Here is an 18,493-nt window from a genome sequence, read left to right on the forward strand (position 1 = left end):
GCGTTCTGTTTCTCTCTCCTTCGTCTTCCCTCCCTTCTTCCTTCCAGCTGTATTTTCTCACTAGCGAACACTAGTAGTATGTTCTCCCAAATTTCAGATTTCAGATGCGCATCTGTAAAATAACGTTATGGAGACACATTATAGTTGCTACTGAATACTTGGTTGTTTTCACAAGTTCACAGCATTACTACTGTCCTCCAAAAAACGGTTTCCCATTTCCACAGCTAATCTCATCATTGACTCTGCCATCCAAGTTTATTCTAGGCCACTCTGGAAGAATCTGGAAAATACTTAAAATACATTTTAAGTATTCATCATGCACATGTATTGTATTTTATTTATATATGTTCTCCATCATTAACATCACTATAATTATTATTAACAGCACATTATTAACAGCACTATAATAATGCATGAGCATTTGTATATAAGATGAGATTTACAAAGATAAGCCCAGCATAGGAGGTCAAATAAGATTACCTCAAAGTATAGATTCATAAATAAAACACATGGATAAGTATAATATTGTTAGATGAAGAGAAAGAAAATATTTCCAGGTTATCATTGAGTCGTTTTACTCCAAGATTTTTCATGAAGCCCAAGATCTCTACTTTCTTCCATTGATTTTAATTTCATTTAGACAACTTTGTCATCTATTATTTTACTTTGTGACGTTCAGAAATAATTTAAAAGCAGAGAATATATTCTATGCCATACATCATGGGTAATGATTTTCCAAAAATAATTAAAAAAGGAACCAATACACACAGTTTTAGTGTTTCCACCATATTTAATAGAAACACTATAAATGAGTTTTGATGACATTAGAATGCAAATAAAGACATTAAATATAACTTATTTGTCCCATTTGATGAGGTGCAAAAAAGAGGGCTTTTGGGGATAAACAGGTTTCCAGAGCATATAGACACATTTCTGACTTTTCTCTGGTCAGAAGTGACTACAGCAAATGATAGGCCAGAGAGGAGGTGAGAAGGAGCAATTAGGGATGGTGTATATCAGGGAACTTCTATCCACATCAACAAAGCTCACGGTCCTACCTTCACAATCCAGGAATAATCCTACTGTGTCTGTAGGTCTTGGAACATATTGCATTACAAGTGGGGAGGTGGTAAAGAGACTGCAGTGAGTGTCCTCCTTAACACATCCAAGAAGAAAGAGTCCCACCTCTCCATCTATCATGTCATTCTGTCTCTTCTCTTTCCAATAATTGTTACAGACACCAAAAGCCCAATTCCAAGAGTGCCCCATGTTAAACTCCCAATAAAATTTGCCAGATATGAAAAAATCAGCCCCCCATTGAAGAAAACATTCAGATTTATCAGTGATATTGGGATCATGTTGAGGGTCACATCCAACCTTCATGCTTCTCAAATCTCCATGCAGGAAGATATGACTACTGGCTCTTGCATGCTGCAGAGTAAGATAAACTGCAAAAATAATTTTAAAAAAGTATAGATACATGTAATTAACAGAAATTAGAATTCTTGAGGGAAAAGTTGTTCTACCAAGAATTTACTTTGCCAAGAAATTTGAAGTTACAAGGACAGGAGAATTTTGATTACAACATTTAAGAAAGTATAAGGATGATTAATATTCTCTATAGGAAAAAACAATACCCTAAAAACAGACATTGAAAATTTATTGAAAACTTAAAAACTGAGAGTCGAATAAAAGACCAGCCTGTTTTAATCCCATCTCCAATGTAAAAGTGAAATATTATATGCCCTGAATGCCCTTTAGCTATCAAGGTAATTATTATTAAAATATTTCTTGTTCTTACATACTAGTGATATAATTTTGGCAAGAATGGGAAGATTTTAGCTTACTCAAGCACTGCTCTAGATAACTGGATAAAAGTCCACATGTTCAAATTATAAGTGGTAACTTAAGGCAGATTTTTGCAAAATCTTTCACTAGTCACTCTGCAGACATCCCTGCTAGCTCTAGACTGAAACTGAACTTTAAATTTTACACGTAGCTCTTCATGTTGTAACTAAACTGAAATTATCATTTCCATTTTTACTTCCTATTTACAAAATATTTTTTCTTTTTATATATTAAGTCAAAATTTTACATCAATAATATATATTTATTGTAAGAAAATACTAATACTCCAACAAACTGCAGTGAACTCTATTCCCCAATGAAATGTTTTTAACAATTCAAATGAAATACAGTAAAGCAATGTAAAATTTTTATGTAACCTTGGATTATTAAGCTTCCTTCTGAGCATTTTTCCATTTATTCAATTTTTTATTTCTTATGTCATTACATTTACCCAATATATAACTCTATACATGTGAGCCCAGAATATATTTGTTTTTCACTATGTTTTACTCTTCATGTTATAAATTGGACTATAAACAGAAACACAGATATAAAAGTGTTGTATCGTCATATGGTTCACTTCCTGCTGAAATGAAATAAAGATTTGACGAAGGGTAAAATATTACCCCCATGATTCTAACAAGAAGTAATACATTGTGGGAATTTTGCCAATGGGCTGACACTCACCTCTGAATCCCTTGAGCCTGTCCATCAGTCCAATGATGGGCCCTGCACTGAACTCTGGATTCACAGGCTCAGACACTTGCAGCAGCAGGGACTCATACCTGCAAGGAGAAAGATAGAGTTACCATATCAACAGCCAAAAAAATACATAAGAATCACCACCTTTATTTAAAAGACATTTCATGAGAATCCCTTTAACCCACACATTTGCTAATTCCAAAATTATCATTTTCTTTTTCAAATTCATTCTTATTCACAGTTCCTCATTTTCAAGCACGATGGAAAAGTCTATCTGACTGAGAATTTATTCGGATCTTTCTTCGTATTGCTCCAAATTAGTAAGGATCATTAGTCTTAAGACTGGGAGAATATTCAAAAATGAAATTCTGGATTCCAGACCTCACCAGAAATTCCTGAAATTACTGTCTGGAAAAGTGGGGTTATTTTTAAGACTGCTGCATCTGTTGCTTCCTTCTCAAGGCCAGGGTGTTGAAACGTGCTCCAGGCAGGGAGATCTGCCTTTAATAGTTGAGGTTCTCTGGAGGCCTACACGGTTCAAACATTCCAAATAGTTTGTTTCATCTATTTTTCAGAATTATATATTTAAATATAAACTAGAAATCATCAACACTTTTCACTGCTAAAATACTTTCCCCTTTTCTCTCTGGCTTCCCCTGGTTTACTTTGTAGCCATGTAGTAAATGCAATATTTTCTCTTGCAAATATGAAGGCTTTTGAGCAATAAAAAGGAAATTAGGAATAGAGATGCTCACTTCCTTTATTTCTTTCATTTATTTATTTTTTGTTCTCTTTCTTTTTTATTTATTTATTTATTTATTTATTTATTTTTGGTTTTGCAGAACTTTCATTGAACTGCTTAATAAAATCACTGAGTATGGCAACAAAATAGATGACTACATGGGGTGGGGGATGGAGAAAGTACAACCAGCACAAGGTAGTATCAATATCTGAATCACTTATACCTTCAATATCAAAGTTCCTGCTTGATATTTGTGGAAACTGAAAGAATCTGCTAAAATCTTGGTATGTACTCACCTTTGTAATATGTCTCCAAAAGACTGTAAAAAAAATAGAAAGGCTTAGTGCTTTCCACAAGATGCATCTTCAACTAAGTTCATTGTGTGATATGGAGACAGTTTCTGAAGATATTATTTTCCTACAGTGTTCCCTCCTGGAAAGCATTTTCTGTTTCTTTTCTCATGAAAATCCCAGTCTATCATATGTCATGAATTTATGTCCTGATAAAGTCTAAGTTTTGAAGACATTCTTTTTACAAGTGAAGGGAGAGGAGGCCCACAGAGTCTATGCTCTGCTGTAACCATGAAGAAGCTACTCAGTCATCTTCCCTAAGCCCTGTTACCAAAATGAGTGGACCCCAACATAATATTAGTGTGATCCTAGATTCCCCAACTTCTCCATCATGCCATGTCTCCAAATTAGCCTAAATGCCAATGAATCACTTCTCATTTTATCTACTTTCAAAAATCCTAAATATATCACTGACTTTTGATGAGAAATATTTCTTGGGGATGTCTGTTACCTTGGCCATTCCACATAGTTTTGTTGCTGGTGGATAAAGTAGGAGGGACCTTCGGTCTGGTAGAATCACTAGGAGAGGCTGTACCCTCCCAACCAAGTAGCATTAGTTATAGAATCGTGTTTTTGGAAACAAATCATGGAAGTAAAGGGGGAGACGGATTTCAGGAGAGAGGTAAAACACCCATCCACTTGAATCTTCAACATCATGATAACCCATGGTCAGTCCGTACCTGGAATAGCTCCACAACTGCTTTATGGCACATTTGCCTCAGATCCTCATACATTCCTCTTAAAAGCTCCCTGGAATGTTCCATTCTGGCTTTGCTTTCATTGAGTTGCTGAAAAATGTCCTCGCCCTCCTTTTGCAGCCTCTCCAAGTGACGTTGCTCTTCTTCATGGAAAAATGCAACCATCTTATGATATTCAGCTCTGATTGCTTCTATCCTTAAACTCACATAATCCTGCAGTGACAATTAGTCAAAATAGAAATGTTTTATCCATCTTCTCTTGAATTTCACTGATTCCTCTTAGCATTCTGAACACCCAATATTTTAATCCTCGATCTTGTCAATTCTCAGATTCCACAAAATTTTATTCCTTTCATTTCTGTATTAATATCAACATAGTTGTTTCTGCCCAGTTATATTTACTTGATTAATGATAAAATGTTTTCTAAGATAGTTGTATAAAAATGGATTTCTCTCTTCCACACCACATTTATAGAAAGAAAACACAGTTTTTTCTTAAGAATCAAAATATCAAGTTATGCTGACTAGGTAAGAAACCATTATTTCTATTTTGGAGAATTGGGGCAAGTTATGTAAAACCATTATATGACAAATGATGACATGACCACAGACTAGCATTGTCAACTCAATGCATTTCACCCAGCATAACATATTCTAAAAAGGTTTCATTTATTCTCTTCCAAACTCACCCTAATCGGCTACATGGACATCTTTGTGGTTCCTCAAACCCCCAAATAAATGCAAATTAAATATTACTGCACATGCTGTTTTCTATAACTAGAATTATTTTCATGTATATATACATATTTCTCATATATGTACTCATATATATTTCTCAAATATAGGTATATATGGATATTTGAGGAATATATACATGTATCTGTGTGTACATATATATTCCTCATATATATCCATATATATATATAATATATATACACTGACACCCAGATACACATATATATTCATATATTTATGAGGAAGAGGAAGGCAAACAGGAGGATATATATATTTGCTCCTGATCAAGGTTTTGCTTCTCTGTGAATTTTTCCATGAGCCTTTTGTCTGACCACCCTATTTAAAACTCAAACCCTCATCCCCAGTCCCTGGACTCTGTGCTCCTTTTCTAACTTCCTGCTTGATTATTCTCCAAAGACACTACTACACTCTAACACATCATATACATCACATATCTGCACGGTGGCCATTTGCTTTTCTCATTTCAATTGCAAGATTTGTGTTTTCTTTCTTCTTTACTCCTTAATTTTCTAAGTTGATATTTGACCTAGACTAGGTACTCACAAAATATCTTTCAATGAATATTACAATAAATTAATGAATTAATATTAGATATCATACCCTCAATATAAACATCCACAAAGAGAAAATCATTTCTAGAATTCTTCTCAAGTCCTTAGAGTTCTCCTTATATAAAATACTAGTTCCCATATTTCTCACATATTTATGTCTTCATCAAGACACAAGTCTACATTTCTCACCACTTTTCCCTTTATATGTGTTATGACTGATTCAATATTAATTAGTTCTGATATTTAATTTCATGCTTTCCCTAAGGTTGCACTCTTGCTCCTTCTGCCTGAAATGTAGCTCACATTTCAATATACTTGCCCACCAGCATTCAATTTCATGCTGACTCAGCCTTAGAAGAGTCACCTGAAATTTCCATGACTGACAAATAACACATGTGTCCAGAATTTATCCAGGCAGCCCACTGGGAACAGTGTGAAATGGCCCAGTTTCTTGTATTTGTTGGAGTATTGCTATAGGTTTGTATGGAAACAGATGAGCATGCTTGGGTAACATCTGTGGTCTGATTAGAAATCCTACCAAAGAGTCACACTAACTTATATAAAAAATTAGGGTGTTTTTTTCTCAAGTGTTTTTTCCTTGTTTGTTGATTTCCAGAAACATTATGGGTTGAGATCAAGTTCCTATTTTAAGAGTCACCCATTTGTTCACCATAAGTTCCTGGAGAAGGTAGAGTAACACACTACTAACCTTCCAGCATCTGATTCTGTTGGTTGCCATATTCAGGTTTCTGTGATTTTCACACATTTTTCTCCATAAAGACTGCATTTTTCTTAGGAGCTCCTCCTGCAAAAGAGCCATGAATTGAAGCACAAGTGAAGACAATAAAGTATCATTCACACTCTGATATACGAAGGACCCAAAATGAGAGACAAATTAGCCCACAGAAAATAGAGTTTGCTTTGTTTCTCCTCATGTCTGTCAAATCTGAGAGGTGTGAAGTCAAGGAAGCTCATAACAGACATGTTTAAGGGGGCACAGAGATGGCATCATCCAATCTCGAAGGAAATAGGCTGACAAGAATTCCATGTGTCCTGTATAGAAATAGATCTTCAGAGGCATCACTTACCCGGCGTTCCTCAGCAGCCCACTCAGTGGGACAGTGTCTGTGATTCCGGTGCTCCTGAGAGTTGGAGCACAGCAAACAGAGCAGGCTCTTGTCCACTTCACAGAACATCTCCTTTGTCTCTCTGTGCGTCCCACATATTTGCTCCTCAGAGCTAAGGAATTGCCGGAGGCTGGCTTTTCTGGCAATGGAAGCCATGTTCTTCAAACAAATGTTAGTTTTGAGGTTTCTCTGCCGTGTTGTCTTCTTGCATTTAGAGCACTGAGCAAGAACTGCCATGTCTTGCCAGTTGAGGTAGAAACAGGGCCGGCAAAAGCTGTGCCCACAGTCTATGGTGACTGGGTCTATGAAGTAGTTCATGCAGATGGGACAGATGAGTTCCCTCTGGAAGACTTGCAAGATTCCAGAATTCATGTTTCTGAAGAAGAAAGAGCAGCATGTCATTTTGGGTTCTGGGTTGGTGAAAATCTGTGAACATATCACCATATGTGATAGCTATATTTTCCTCTTGACAGTGCTCATTAAAGCGGAACAAACTATTTCCTCTGTAACAAAAATGAAAAATTCATACACAAAGAGAGTCTTAAGGCTTTATAGCAGACACTACTGACTGGATGACTCACAACCTCTTCTACTCCTAGTTCCTGCCCATAACATAATGCAAATCTGTTCAAAAACCTATTCCCTGGATGTCGATATGAAACTCGGGTTTTAATCTTAAGTGGTCTAGCATAAAACATGCTTGTCCCTATTTCTCTATCAAATAACTACTGAATGACTGTGGGAGAGGTGTAGAAAACCTACACTGGGTAACAAAACATGAGAAGATGGTCAGAGGGTGCTATGACATATTTTTAGAGAAAGGGACCCAGAAGCCGGCTCTTTAAAACAAAAACAACCCCAGAACAAACCAACCGACCAGATAAACAAAAAGACAACAATTAAACCAGTCTAGGCTCACTAGGAGATAAAATAAATAATGAAAAATATTGGGTTTTTCTTATGGCTTAAATTAACTTCTTCTTTGGGCTACTCAAACTATGAACTGACATATAGTCAGTTTTTTAAAAACTGAAATATATATAATTATATTACTGTGGTATTACAGTTAATTATAGGTGTTGACTTGACTGGATTAAATAATACATGGAGAATTGGTATAGCATTATTTCTGGGTGAGTCTGTGAAGGTGTTTGCAGAGAGACATGTAAGTTGGTGAGCTGAGTGGGGAACAGCAACCCTCAATGTGGGTGGACACTATCCAATCAGCTGGTAGCTCAGACTGAAGATAAAGGGCAGAGAGAAGGCAGTTTCCTCTTTTTCTCCTGAAGCTGATTCTAACTCAGCCAGGATATTGGTATCTCCAGGACACTAGCTTAATGACAGCCTGTGTTCAACTTCTCAGACTCCATAATCAAGGGAACAAATTCTCCTAGTGGACTTCCTCTCCTGTACAGTGTCATGTGTAGAGTGAGGACAGATATATGATCCGAGGGACGCATTAGACAGTCTCGTTATTGTTTGAACATCATAGGGTATACTTACACAAACCTAGATGGTATAGCCTACTACACACCTATGGTATACAGTATAGCATATTGTTCCTAGGCTACAAACCTGTATGGTATACGATAGGCAATTGTACCAGAGTTGTAAGTATTTTTGGTATATATACATATATATATATATATATATATATATATATAGTTATGTACACATCCTATGGTTCTGTCTCTCTGGAGAACCCTGACCAATACAAACTGGAATCTTTCCCTTGGCAGTTTGAAGTCCTTTACCTGACTCTCTTTTACTAAACACTGCTGAATTTAAGTACCAAAAGTGAAAATTTAAGAATTGCAAATATTTTTCAGAGGTCATCTGAGCCATTTCAAGGAATTTTTCATAGTTTCATCTGAGGTAAGCCTCAATTAAAATGACAACTACTATCAAGTATCAAATCATTCCTTATACAGTTATCTGCTAAACAATTGTGTTTTGATTTCTAAGCTAGGGCATTTTGGAGAGCATTCTTATTTCCTTTAGTATCACCATTTTTAACTCATCATTGCCTCAGTAACTTAAAATCATGTCTAAAAGCTTAATGTTATGAAAGCACATTTACAGTATTCAATAATTATCCTTTTTTACTTAACTGTACCAATATTAGTACATGCAGTACACATATATAGGTTTTAATGTGAATTCCATATATCCATGATGCATACAAATCTATTGCAGCAAACACTAGATATCTAAAATTTTTCAAAAATATATTAAAAACTTTTGGAACACACAAAATGACAACAATTAATAACCTCATGTCATAAAATGAATAGCAATAATATGAGTTACAAATAAGATCATTAAGTAAGTTTAGACAGTTAGATATTTTTATCACTGTAATTTACTCTTTTAAAGGAAGAGAGAAATAATTTTCTCCATATAAGTTGCACTCACCCCAAGGTTCTATGAATGTTTCCTGCAGTAATTCTTCCAAGAAAAAATTCTTTTAAGTATTCCCCAAGATCAGGAGTTCATTCCCTGCACAGTTGACTTTCCAAGGTCACCTGAATGCAGTTAACTCTAAGTGCTGTCCTCCTCTGGAGAAATATGAGCTTGTCTCTTCTACATCCTTTTATATGAATCTTTGAAGACCACACCCACCTCTTTAGTGATATTTAGGGTATTAAGAATGGTGGAGACAGAGATGATTAGGTTTATGCAATATTTAGTACACACCTTTTCATCACTGATTAAATTAGCCTCACACTATCATTGTAAAAACCACTGCCTGAATGAGGCATATCTATCATCAATCTTATTAGAGTAAACATATGCTAGAAATTAACTGAAATTAATACTATTTCTTGGGTTTCTTCCAAGGCACAAGCATTCCTCTAAGTGCACATTTATTTATTTATACCAAAGAAAGTTTCACCCTCTGGAGTGCAGTGGCACACTCTTAGCTCCCCGCAGCATTGAATTCCAGAGCTCAAGTAATCCTCCCACTTCAGCTTTCAAAGTAAAAAAGACTATAGGTTTATGCCATTGGACCTAGCTAATTTTTCATTTATTCATCAAAAATATTTTTTAAATTCTTAGTTGATTACATGTGTCACAATGACCAGCTGGATTAGAATTAGATTAGGTTTAAAACAATGAAAGAATCTGGGAGAGGGGGCAGAGTGTTGGTTGTTAATTAGCACATGGATCAAAGGAGATTACTGATGTGTTTAGAAGCCAAAACACTGACAGAATAAAAGCCAGAACTAACAATCCAATTGTAAATCTCTTTACTGTGGTATTTTCTGCCATTTCTGCTCCATAAGACACACCTTAACCACTTTGTTGTGGTATCTGCAGTATTCTATTTTAGTCTAAATAGCATTTTCTCTCAAATGCATTCAATTTCTCTCTCCTTCATCTTCCCTCCCTTCTTCCTTCCAGCTGTATTTTTTTACTAGAGAACATTAGTAGAATGTTCTCCCAAATTTCAGATTTCAGATACGCATCTGTAAAATAATCTTATGGAGACACATTTTAGTTGCTACTGAATACTTGGTTGTTTTCACAAGTTCACAGCATTACTACTGTCCTCCAAAAAACGGTTTCCCATTTCCACAGCTAATCTCATCATTGACTCTGCCATCTAGGTTTATTCTATGCCACTCTGGAAGAATCTGGAAAAATAAAATACATTTTAAGTATTAATCATGCACATGTATTGTATTTTATTTTATATATGTTTGGGTGAATATCTTTCTCCACTAATGGTTTGCATTTCAATTCTTGTGTCATGTTTTTTGAAACACAGAAGTCATCATTAATATAAACCAACTAATTTTTTTAATTGTTAATTTTTGTCCTGGTTAAGAAATCCTTATGAGAATATTTTATCATGTTCCCCTTACCTTCAGGACTTGAATCTATTTGGAAATGACTGTGTGTGTTTTGAGGTAGGAATCAATATTTAGTTATTTTTTGAAATTCAATTAATCCAGCATTGTTCTGACCACCTTGTGTATTTCAATGTAGAAGAGCACACTAATAATGTGGGATTATTTATATAAGTGGTGAGAATTCCAAAATGAAGCCCGGCATGGAAGGTTAAATAATATTAACTCAAAGGATAGATTAGTAAAATGAAATGTGATGGATAAGTGCAATATAGTTAGGTAAAGAGAAAGAAAAACATTTCCCAATTATCATTAAGACTTCACTCCAAGCTTTTGCATGAAGCAAAAGATCCCGACTCTCTTCCATTGATTTTAACTCCATTCAGACATGTCTGTCATCTATTATTTCACTCAGTAGCAGTCAGAAATAAACAAAAAAAAAAAAAATATATTTTATGCCATGATCATGAATAATGATTTTTCAAAAATTAATAAAGAACCAATACATATACTTTTAGTGTTTTTACCATTTTTAATAGTAACACAATAACTGAGTTTTAATAACATTAGGAGGCAATTCAAGACATAAAACAGAACCTATTTGTCCTGTTTGATAAGGCACAAGGAAGAGGGCTTCCTGGAGTAAACGGGTTCTCACAGCAGATGAACATATTTCTGATTTATCTCTGGTCAGAGGTGAACACACCGAAAGATAGGCCTGACAGGAGGCGAGAAGGAGCAATTAGGGATCGTGTATATAAGGCAGCTTTGATTAACATCAACGAAGCTCACAGTTCTAGCTTCACAATCCAGGAATAATCCTATGAGGCTGGTAGGTCTTGGGATATATTGCAGTGTAAGTGGGGAGGTGGTAAAGGGACTGCACTGAATGTCATTCTTGACACATCCAAGACTAAAGAGTCCCTCCTCTCCATATATATTGCCATTCTGATTCTTCCCTTTCCAATACTTATTACAGACACCAAAAGCCCAATTCCAAGTGTCCCCCACATGGACATCCCAGTAATATTTGCTGGAGGTGAAAGTCTGAGCACCCCATGCAAGAAAACTTGTAGGTGTTGCAGTGATATGGGGTGGATTTTGACGGTCACATCCAATACACATGCTTCTCAAATCTCCACATCAAAAGATACGACTGTTGGCTCATCATTATTCAGAGTAATATCCACTGCAAAAATAAATAAATAAATAAAAGAGAAACAAAACATACATAGACATGTGTCAATAAGCAAAAATTGTTCTATCAAGAAGTTAATTTACCAGGAAAAGTAAAGTCACAAGGACAATTTTGCTTGTAACTTCTAATAAAGCATAGAGATGATTAATTTTAACTACAAGACAAACAAAACACTAACCACAGGTATTAAAAATGTTTTGAAAACTTATATATTGAGAGCCAAATGTAAGACCAACTTCTTTCAATCCAATTTTTGAAGCAAAATTTACACATTATATGCCCTAAATACTATGTTGTTATCAAGATCATTATTTAGAAATGTTTCTTATTCTTAAAAACTAGTGCTATCATTTTGGAAAGAATGTGAAGATTTTCAGTTACTCAAGAACTGCTGTTGATGACTGGATAAAAATCCATAAGTACATGTCATAAGTGACCATTTAAAGCAGATTTCTGTAAAATCTTTTACCAGTCTCTCTGTGGTCCTCCATGCTAGCTTGGGGCTGAAGCTGGATTTTAAGCTTAACCTGTAGCTTTTCATATTGCAATTAAACTGAACTTCTCTTTGTTTGTAATTTTACTTGTATTCACAAAATGATTTCTTCTTTTTATGTTTACCCATTAACTAATTTTTTTTGCAATACATGATACGTATCCATTTAAAAAATTAAAACCCCCCAGCAATCCCCAGTAAACGATAATCCTCAAAAGAACAGTTCTTAGCTGTTCAAATGAATACACTAAGGAAACGTAAAATTTTGTATTTAACATTAAATAACTCACCTTCATTCTGAGCATTGTTCCATTTGCTCCTTTTTTAAATTTGCTACCCTACTCCTCTTTCCCATTACATTACTCAGTACATATGAGGCCATAACGTATTTGTTTTTCACTATCTTTCAAACTTAATGCTATAAATCTGACTATATAGACACAGATACAAAAGGGTTGCATGATTATGTTGTTCGCTTATGTCTATAAAGAAGTAAAATATTTGATAATGGGTGAAATATTACCTATGGGATCCTAACAATAACAATATTTAGATAGTGGGAGTGCTGCCTATGGGTGGAGACTTACCTCAGAATTAGATGAGCCTGTCCCTCAGTCCAGTGATGGGCCCTGCACTGAGCTCTAGATTCAGAGGCTGGGGCATGTGCAACAGCACGGACTCACTCCTGCAAGGAAAAACCTGCAGTTACAACATCTACAGCCATAAAATAAATAAAAATCACTATTTCTATTTAAAAGACAGCTCATGAGAATCCTCTGAATCCACAAATTTGATTATTCAAAAATTATTACTTCTTTTTTGGAATTAATTTCTATTTATAGTTTCCCAATTTTAAAGCATAGTGGGAGAGCCTGAGTCAGAATTCCGTCTGATCTTTCTTTTTTTCTGCCCCACATGTGTAAGGTTCCTTAGCCTTATGGCCTTGAGAATATTTGGAAATGAAATTCTGAGTTCCACTTCTTGGCAGACTCCCCTGACATCTTTGTCTGAAATAGCGGGGTTTTGGGAAGACTGCTGCATCTGCTGCTTCCTTTTCAAGATAAAGAATGTGAAACTTGTTCCAGGCAGCTAGACCTGCCTTTTAGAAACAAGCTTCCCTAGAGACTTATACAGTTCTAACACTCCACAGTTTTTTCAACCTATTTTTCAGGACTGTTAACTGATTTGTATATAGGTATGAACAATAAATCATCAACTTTTTGACTGCTAAAATACTTCCCCCACTTCTCTCCTGCTTCCTCTGGTGACTTTCTCACCATCCACAAAACAAAACTTTATCTTTCACCTATGCAGGCTTTTAAGCAATAAAACAAAATCAGGAATAAACATTTTTTTAATTTCACTATTTATTTATCTATTTATTTATTTATTTAGTGTTCTTGTCTTTTCTGGTGTAAGAGTGAAAGCAGATGCAAAAAAAAAGGTAGTATCAATATCTTACTCATTTATGCCATGACTTTGGTAGAGCCTGCTTTGATATTCGTGGAAACTGAAAGAATGTATGCTAAAATCTAGGTAAACACTCACCTCTGTAATATGTCTCCAAAACCCTGTAAAAAAAAATAGAAATACTTAGGGCATTTTACAAGATGCATCTTTCACTAAGTTCAGTGTGAAATTTGGAGTCAGTTTCTGAAGATATTATTTCCCTCCCATCTGGAAAGCATTTTCTATTTCTTCTGTAATGAAAAACCCAGTTAGTCATTTTGTCATTAATTAATGTCCTGGTAAAGTCTGAGTCTTGAAGACATTCTCTCCAGAAGTGAAGGGAGAAGAGGCCCAGAGAGTCTATGCTCTGTGGTAACTTCAAATAACCTACTCAGTCATCTTTCCCAGAACCTATTACCCAAATGAGTGGACCTCAAAATAATATTAATGTGAGCCTAGATTCCCAAAACTTCTGATCTTGCCATGTCCTCAAATTATCCTAAATGTAAATGAATCACTCACTATTTTATACATGTTAAACAACCCAAAATATATTATTGACTTAGATGGGGAATAGTTATTGGGGCTGTTACCTTGACCATTCCACAGAGTTTTGTGGCTGGTGGATAAAGTAGGAGGGACCTTTGGCCTGGTAGAATCCCTTGGCGGGGCTATACTCTCCCAATAAAGTAGCATTAGTTATGCGAATGTGTTTTTGGAAACACATCATGGAAATAAAGGTTGGGAGATGGATTTCAGCCATGAGGAATATACTTACACATGTGAATAGTGAAAAACCTGAAACTACATTGTGAGTTTGTACCTGAAGTAGCTCCACATCTGGTTTATGGCACATTTCCTTCAGCTCCTCATACATTCCTCTTAAAATCTCCCTCCTATGAGCCATTTTGGCTTTACTTAAATGAAGTTGATGAAAAATATCTTTCCCCTTCTTTTTCAGCATGTGCAAATTATGTTTTTCTTCTTCATGGTGAAATGCAGCCATCTTCTCATACTCAGCTCTAATTGCTTCTAGCCTTAAATTCACGTAATCCTGCAGTGATAATGGGTTAGTCAAAAGAGAAATGTATTTATTCATCTCCTATTAAATCTCACTGATTCTTTTTGTCTCTTGAATATCCAATAATTTAAACCTCAGTCTTTCTAGTTCCTAGAATCCACAAAATTTTGTTCCTTTCCTTTCTTTCTGTATAAAAATCAACATAGCTGTATCTGACCAATTACATTAAATTTATTCAAGATAATGTGTTTTCTAAGGCAGTTGGAAATAAAAAAAAACACAATTTGAATTTCGCTATTCCAGCCAATATTTATGGAAAAGTAAGAACAGCTCATGCTTAAGAGTTGGAGTATAGAGCTATAGTTACTAGAATGGAAATAATTATTTCTATTTCTGAGATACGCAAAAGTTGCTTAAACTCATTTTATGTGAAATGACCTTAGGCTAGCATGTCCAGCTAAATTCATTTCACCCAGCAAAACCTATCTTAATGAGGCTGCATTTATGATTTGGCCATCTTTGTCTCTCTGAATTCATTTCCTTCGTTTCTTTTTCTAAGTTATCCCATTCTGAAACATAGACTTCTTTGTGGTTCCTCCGGCCTCCAAATATACACAAACTCAAAATTACTGCATATGCTGTTCTCTCCAACTAGAATTTTATGCACACACACACACACACACACTTATACATATATACACATTCATGGTCCACATATATATATATATACATATACACATTCGTGTTCCCTCTCCTCTTCAAAATTTTGTTCAAATTGAATTTTTCAGTGAGTCTTTTTTCTGACCACCCTATTTAAAAATCAGACCTAATCTCCAGTTTCTGGCCTCTATTGTCCTTTTCTACTTCCCTGCTTGATTATTCTCCAACAAAGAACCTACCACACTCGAACACATCATGTATTGCACATATTTGCATGTTGACCATTTTTTCTGTCTCATTTGGATTGTACGATTTGTGAGGACAAAGATGCTTTCTTTCTGCTATACTAGCAAATTTTCTAATTTAATATTCAACATAGACTAGGTTCTTATGAAATACTTTTCAACACACTAATATTAGCTATAATACCCTCAAAGTATACATCCACAAATAGAAAATCATTTTTAATATTTCTCTGAAGTCCTTAGAGTTCTCCTTATATTTAGCTACTAGTTCCCATATTTTGAGCATGTTTACATGTCTCCCTCAAGACACAAATCAATTTTTCTCACCAATTTTCTCATCATATGTTATGTATTATTCAGTATTAATTAGTTGAGATTCTTAATTTCATGGTTGCCCTAGATTTCCCCTGTCACTCTTTCTGCCTCAAATTTTCCATACAATTCCAAATACTACTTGTCCACCAGCATTCAGATTAATGCTGACCCAGGCTCAGAGGTTCACTTGAGCTTTCTATGACTGCCAAATGAATCTTGTGCCAAGCGTTTATCCAACCAGCACATATAGAATGCTGTGAGATGGCCCAGTTTCTTGCATCTGTTGGTGTATAGCTACAGGTTTGTATGAAAACAAACCAGCATGCTTTGGGTGACTTCAGTAGTTTTCTTAGAAATCCTATCTAACAGTCGTACTATTCTATATAAGAAATGAGGTCACTTTTTCTCAATGTTTTCTTTTCTTTTATTGACTCCCAGAAACATTAGAGTTTGATAACAAGTTCCTATTTTAAGAGTCACCCATTTGCCCACCATAATTTCCTGGATAAGGTAGAGTAGCACAGGACTAACCTTCCAGTGGCTGATTCTGGCGGTTTCCATGTTCAGGTTTCTCTGATTTTCACAAGCTTTTTCCCATAAAGACTGCATTTTATTTAAAAGCTTCTCCTGCAAAAGAGCCATAAATTGAAGCACCAGTGAAAACAATAAAGTAACATGCAGACCGTTTCATAGGGAGGGGGCACAGAATGAGAGACAAATAAGCCCATAGTAAATGGCATTTCTTCTATTTCCCTTCTTCTTCATCAAATCTCAGAGGTTTGAAGCTAAGAAAGCCCAAAAGTGAGCTGCTTAAAGGGACTCAGATTTGGCTTTACTCCATCTCCAAGAAAATAGACCCACAGGAATTTCATGTGTCCTTTATAGAAATAGATCTTCAGAGGCATCACTTACCCGGTGTTCCTCAGCAGCCCACTCAACGGGACGGTGTCTGTGATACCGGTGCTCCTGAGAGCTGGAGCACAGCAGACAGAGCAGACTCTTGTCCACTTCACAGAACATCTTCTTTGTCTCCCTGTGAGTGCCACACATTTGCTCCTCAGAGCTCAGGAATAGCCAGAGACTGACTTTTCTGGCAAGGGAAGCCATCTTCTTCAAATGAATGTTAGTTTTGAGGTTTCTCTGCCATGTTGTCTTCATGCATTCAAAGCACTGAGTAAAAATTGGGATGTCTTGCCACTTGAAGTAGAAACAGGGCCTGCAAAAGCTGTGCCCACAGTCTACGGTGACCGGGTCTATGAAGTATTTCATGCAGATGGGGCAGGTGAGTTCCATCTGGAATTCTTGCAAGATTCCAGAATTCATGTTTCTGAGGAAGAAAGAGCAACATGTCATTTTGGGGTCTGGGTTGATGAAAAGTTTCTGAACATGTGGAGATACCTGATAGCCCTATTTTCTTCTCTTGACAGTATTCATTAAGGCACAGCACTCTATTTATTCTGTAACAAAAATAAAAATCTCACACAGAGAGAGTCTCTCGGCTTTATAGTAGATGTTACTGACTAGATGACTCACAACCCTTTATACTCTTATTTCCTGTATGTAACATAATACCAATCTATTCAATTTCCCGTTTTCTGAATGTTGATCTGGAAATTGGGTTTGATTCTACATGACCTAGAATAAATTGTAGTTGTTCCTATTCTTCTTTCACGTAACTGCTGAGTAGGAAAGACTGGGAAAAACTACCTTGGCCAAGGAAATATGAGAAGATGGCTAGAGGGTTCTACGACATATTTTTAGAGACACAACAGTGGGGCAGCAAACCACTATGGCACATGTTTACCTATGTAACAAGCTTGCATGTCCTGCACATTTATCTTAGGACTTAAAATAATATAAAATTAAAGTAAAATAAAAAACCAAACCAAAACAAAATAGAAAAACCAATCAACCAACCAAATAAACAAAAAACCAGCAATTAAATCAATTTTGGTTTAATAGAAGAGAAAAACATAATTAAAGATATTGGGCCTTTTTATTTTCTCGTGGATTAAATTAACTTCTCCTAGGGATACCCAAACTCTGAACTAACATATAGTATGATTTTTGTTAAACTCAGAGAGGTGTGATTACATCTCTATGGTGTGATGGTGAATTTTAGATATCAGTCTGACTGGATTAACCAATACCTAGGGAACTGGTGCAGCATTGTTTCTGGGTGAGTCTGTGAAGGTGTTTCCAGAGGAGACAGACATGTGAGTTGGTGAGCTGAGTGGGACCATCATCCCTCAGTGTGAGTGGGCACCATTCAATCAGCTGGTAGCTCAGATAAAAGGAAAAAGCCAGAGGAAAGGCAATTTCCTCTTTCTTTCTCCTGAAGCTGGTTCTGAGGCTTTCAGCCTTGAGCTCAGTCCAGATACCGGTATCCTCAGGACATCAGCTTAAAGGCAGCCTATATTAGAACTGCTCAGACTCCATAATCAAGCAAAGGAATTTTCCTGATGAATTCCCTCTCAGGTAGAG

The 18,493-nt window shown here is 35.8% G+C and overlaps 1 protein-coding gene and 1 pseudogene across 2 annotated transcripts; both read right to left on the reverse strand.

The window, feature by feature from the left end:
• Nucleotides 1-948: 948 nt before the first annotated feature.
• TRIM51G (tripartite motif-containing 51G) lies at nucleotides 949-9,336 on the reverse strand. 2 transcript variants are annotated; one of them, NM_001396075.1, is made up of 7 exons: nucleotides 9,190-9,336; nucleotides 6,736-7,150; nucleotides 6,357-6,452; nucleotides 4,323-4,553; nucleotides 3,589-3,611; nucleotides 2,536-2,633; nucleotides 949-1,448 (listed from the first exon to the last, which is right to left on the reverse strand). In NM_001396075.1, the coding sequence occupies exons 2-7, from the start codon at nucleotides 7,144-7,146 to the stop codon at nucleotides 949-951; spliced, it is 1,359 nt and encodes a 452-aa protein (NP_001383004.1). In that variant the 5' UTR covers nucleotides 7,147-7,150; nucleotides 9,190-9,336. The 2 variants fall into 2 exon arrangements, with proteins under 2 accessions (NP_001383004.1, XP_047282331.1); XM_047426375.1 differs by lacking the exons at nucleotides 4,323-4,553; nucleotides 9,190-9,336 and having other exon boundaries at nucleotides 6,736-7,146.
• Nucleotides 11,204-17,332, reverse strand: TRIM53CP (tripartite motif containing 53C, pseudogene; annotated as a pseudogene).

The sequence above is a fragment of the Homo sapiens genome, chromosome 11, assembly GCF_000001405.40.
Source record: "Homo sapiens chromosome 11, GRCh38.p14 Primary Assembly".
NCBI classification, from domain to species: domain Eukaryota; kingdom Metazoa; phylum Chordata; class Mammalia; order Primates; family Hominidae; genus Homo; species Homo sapiens.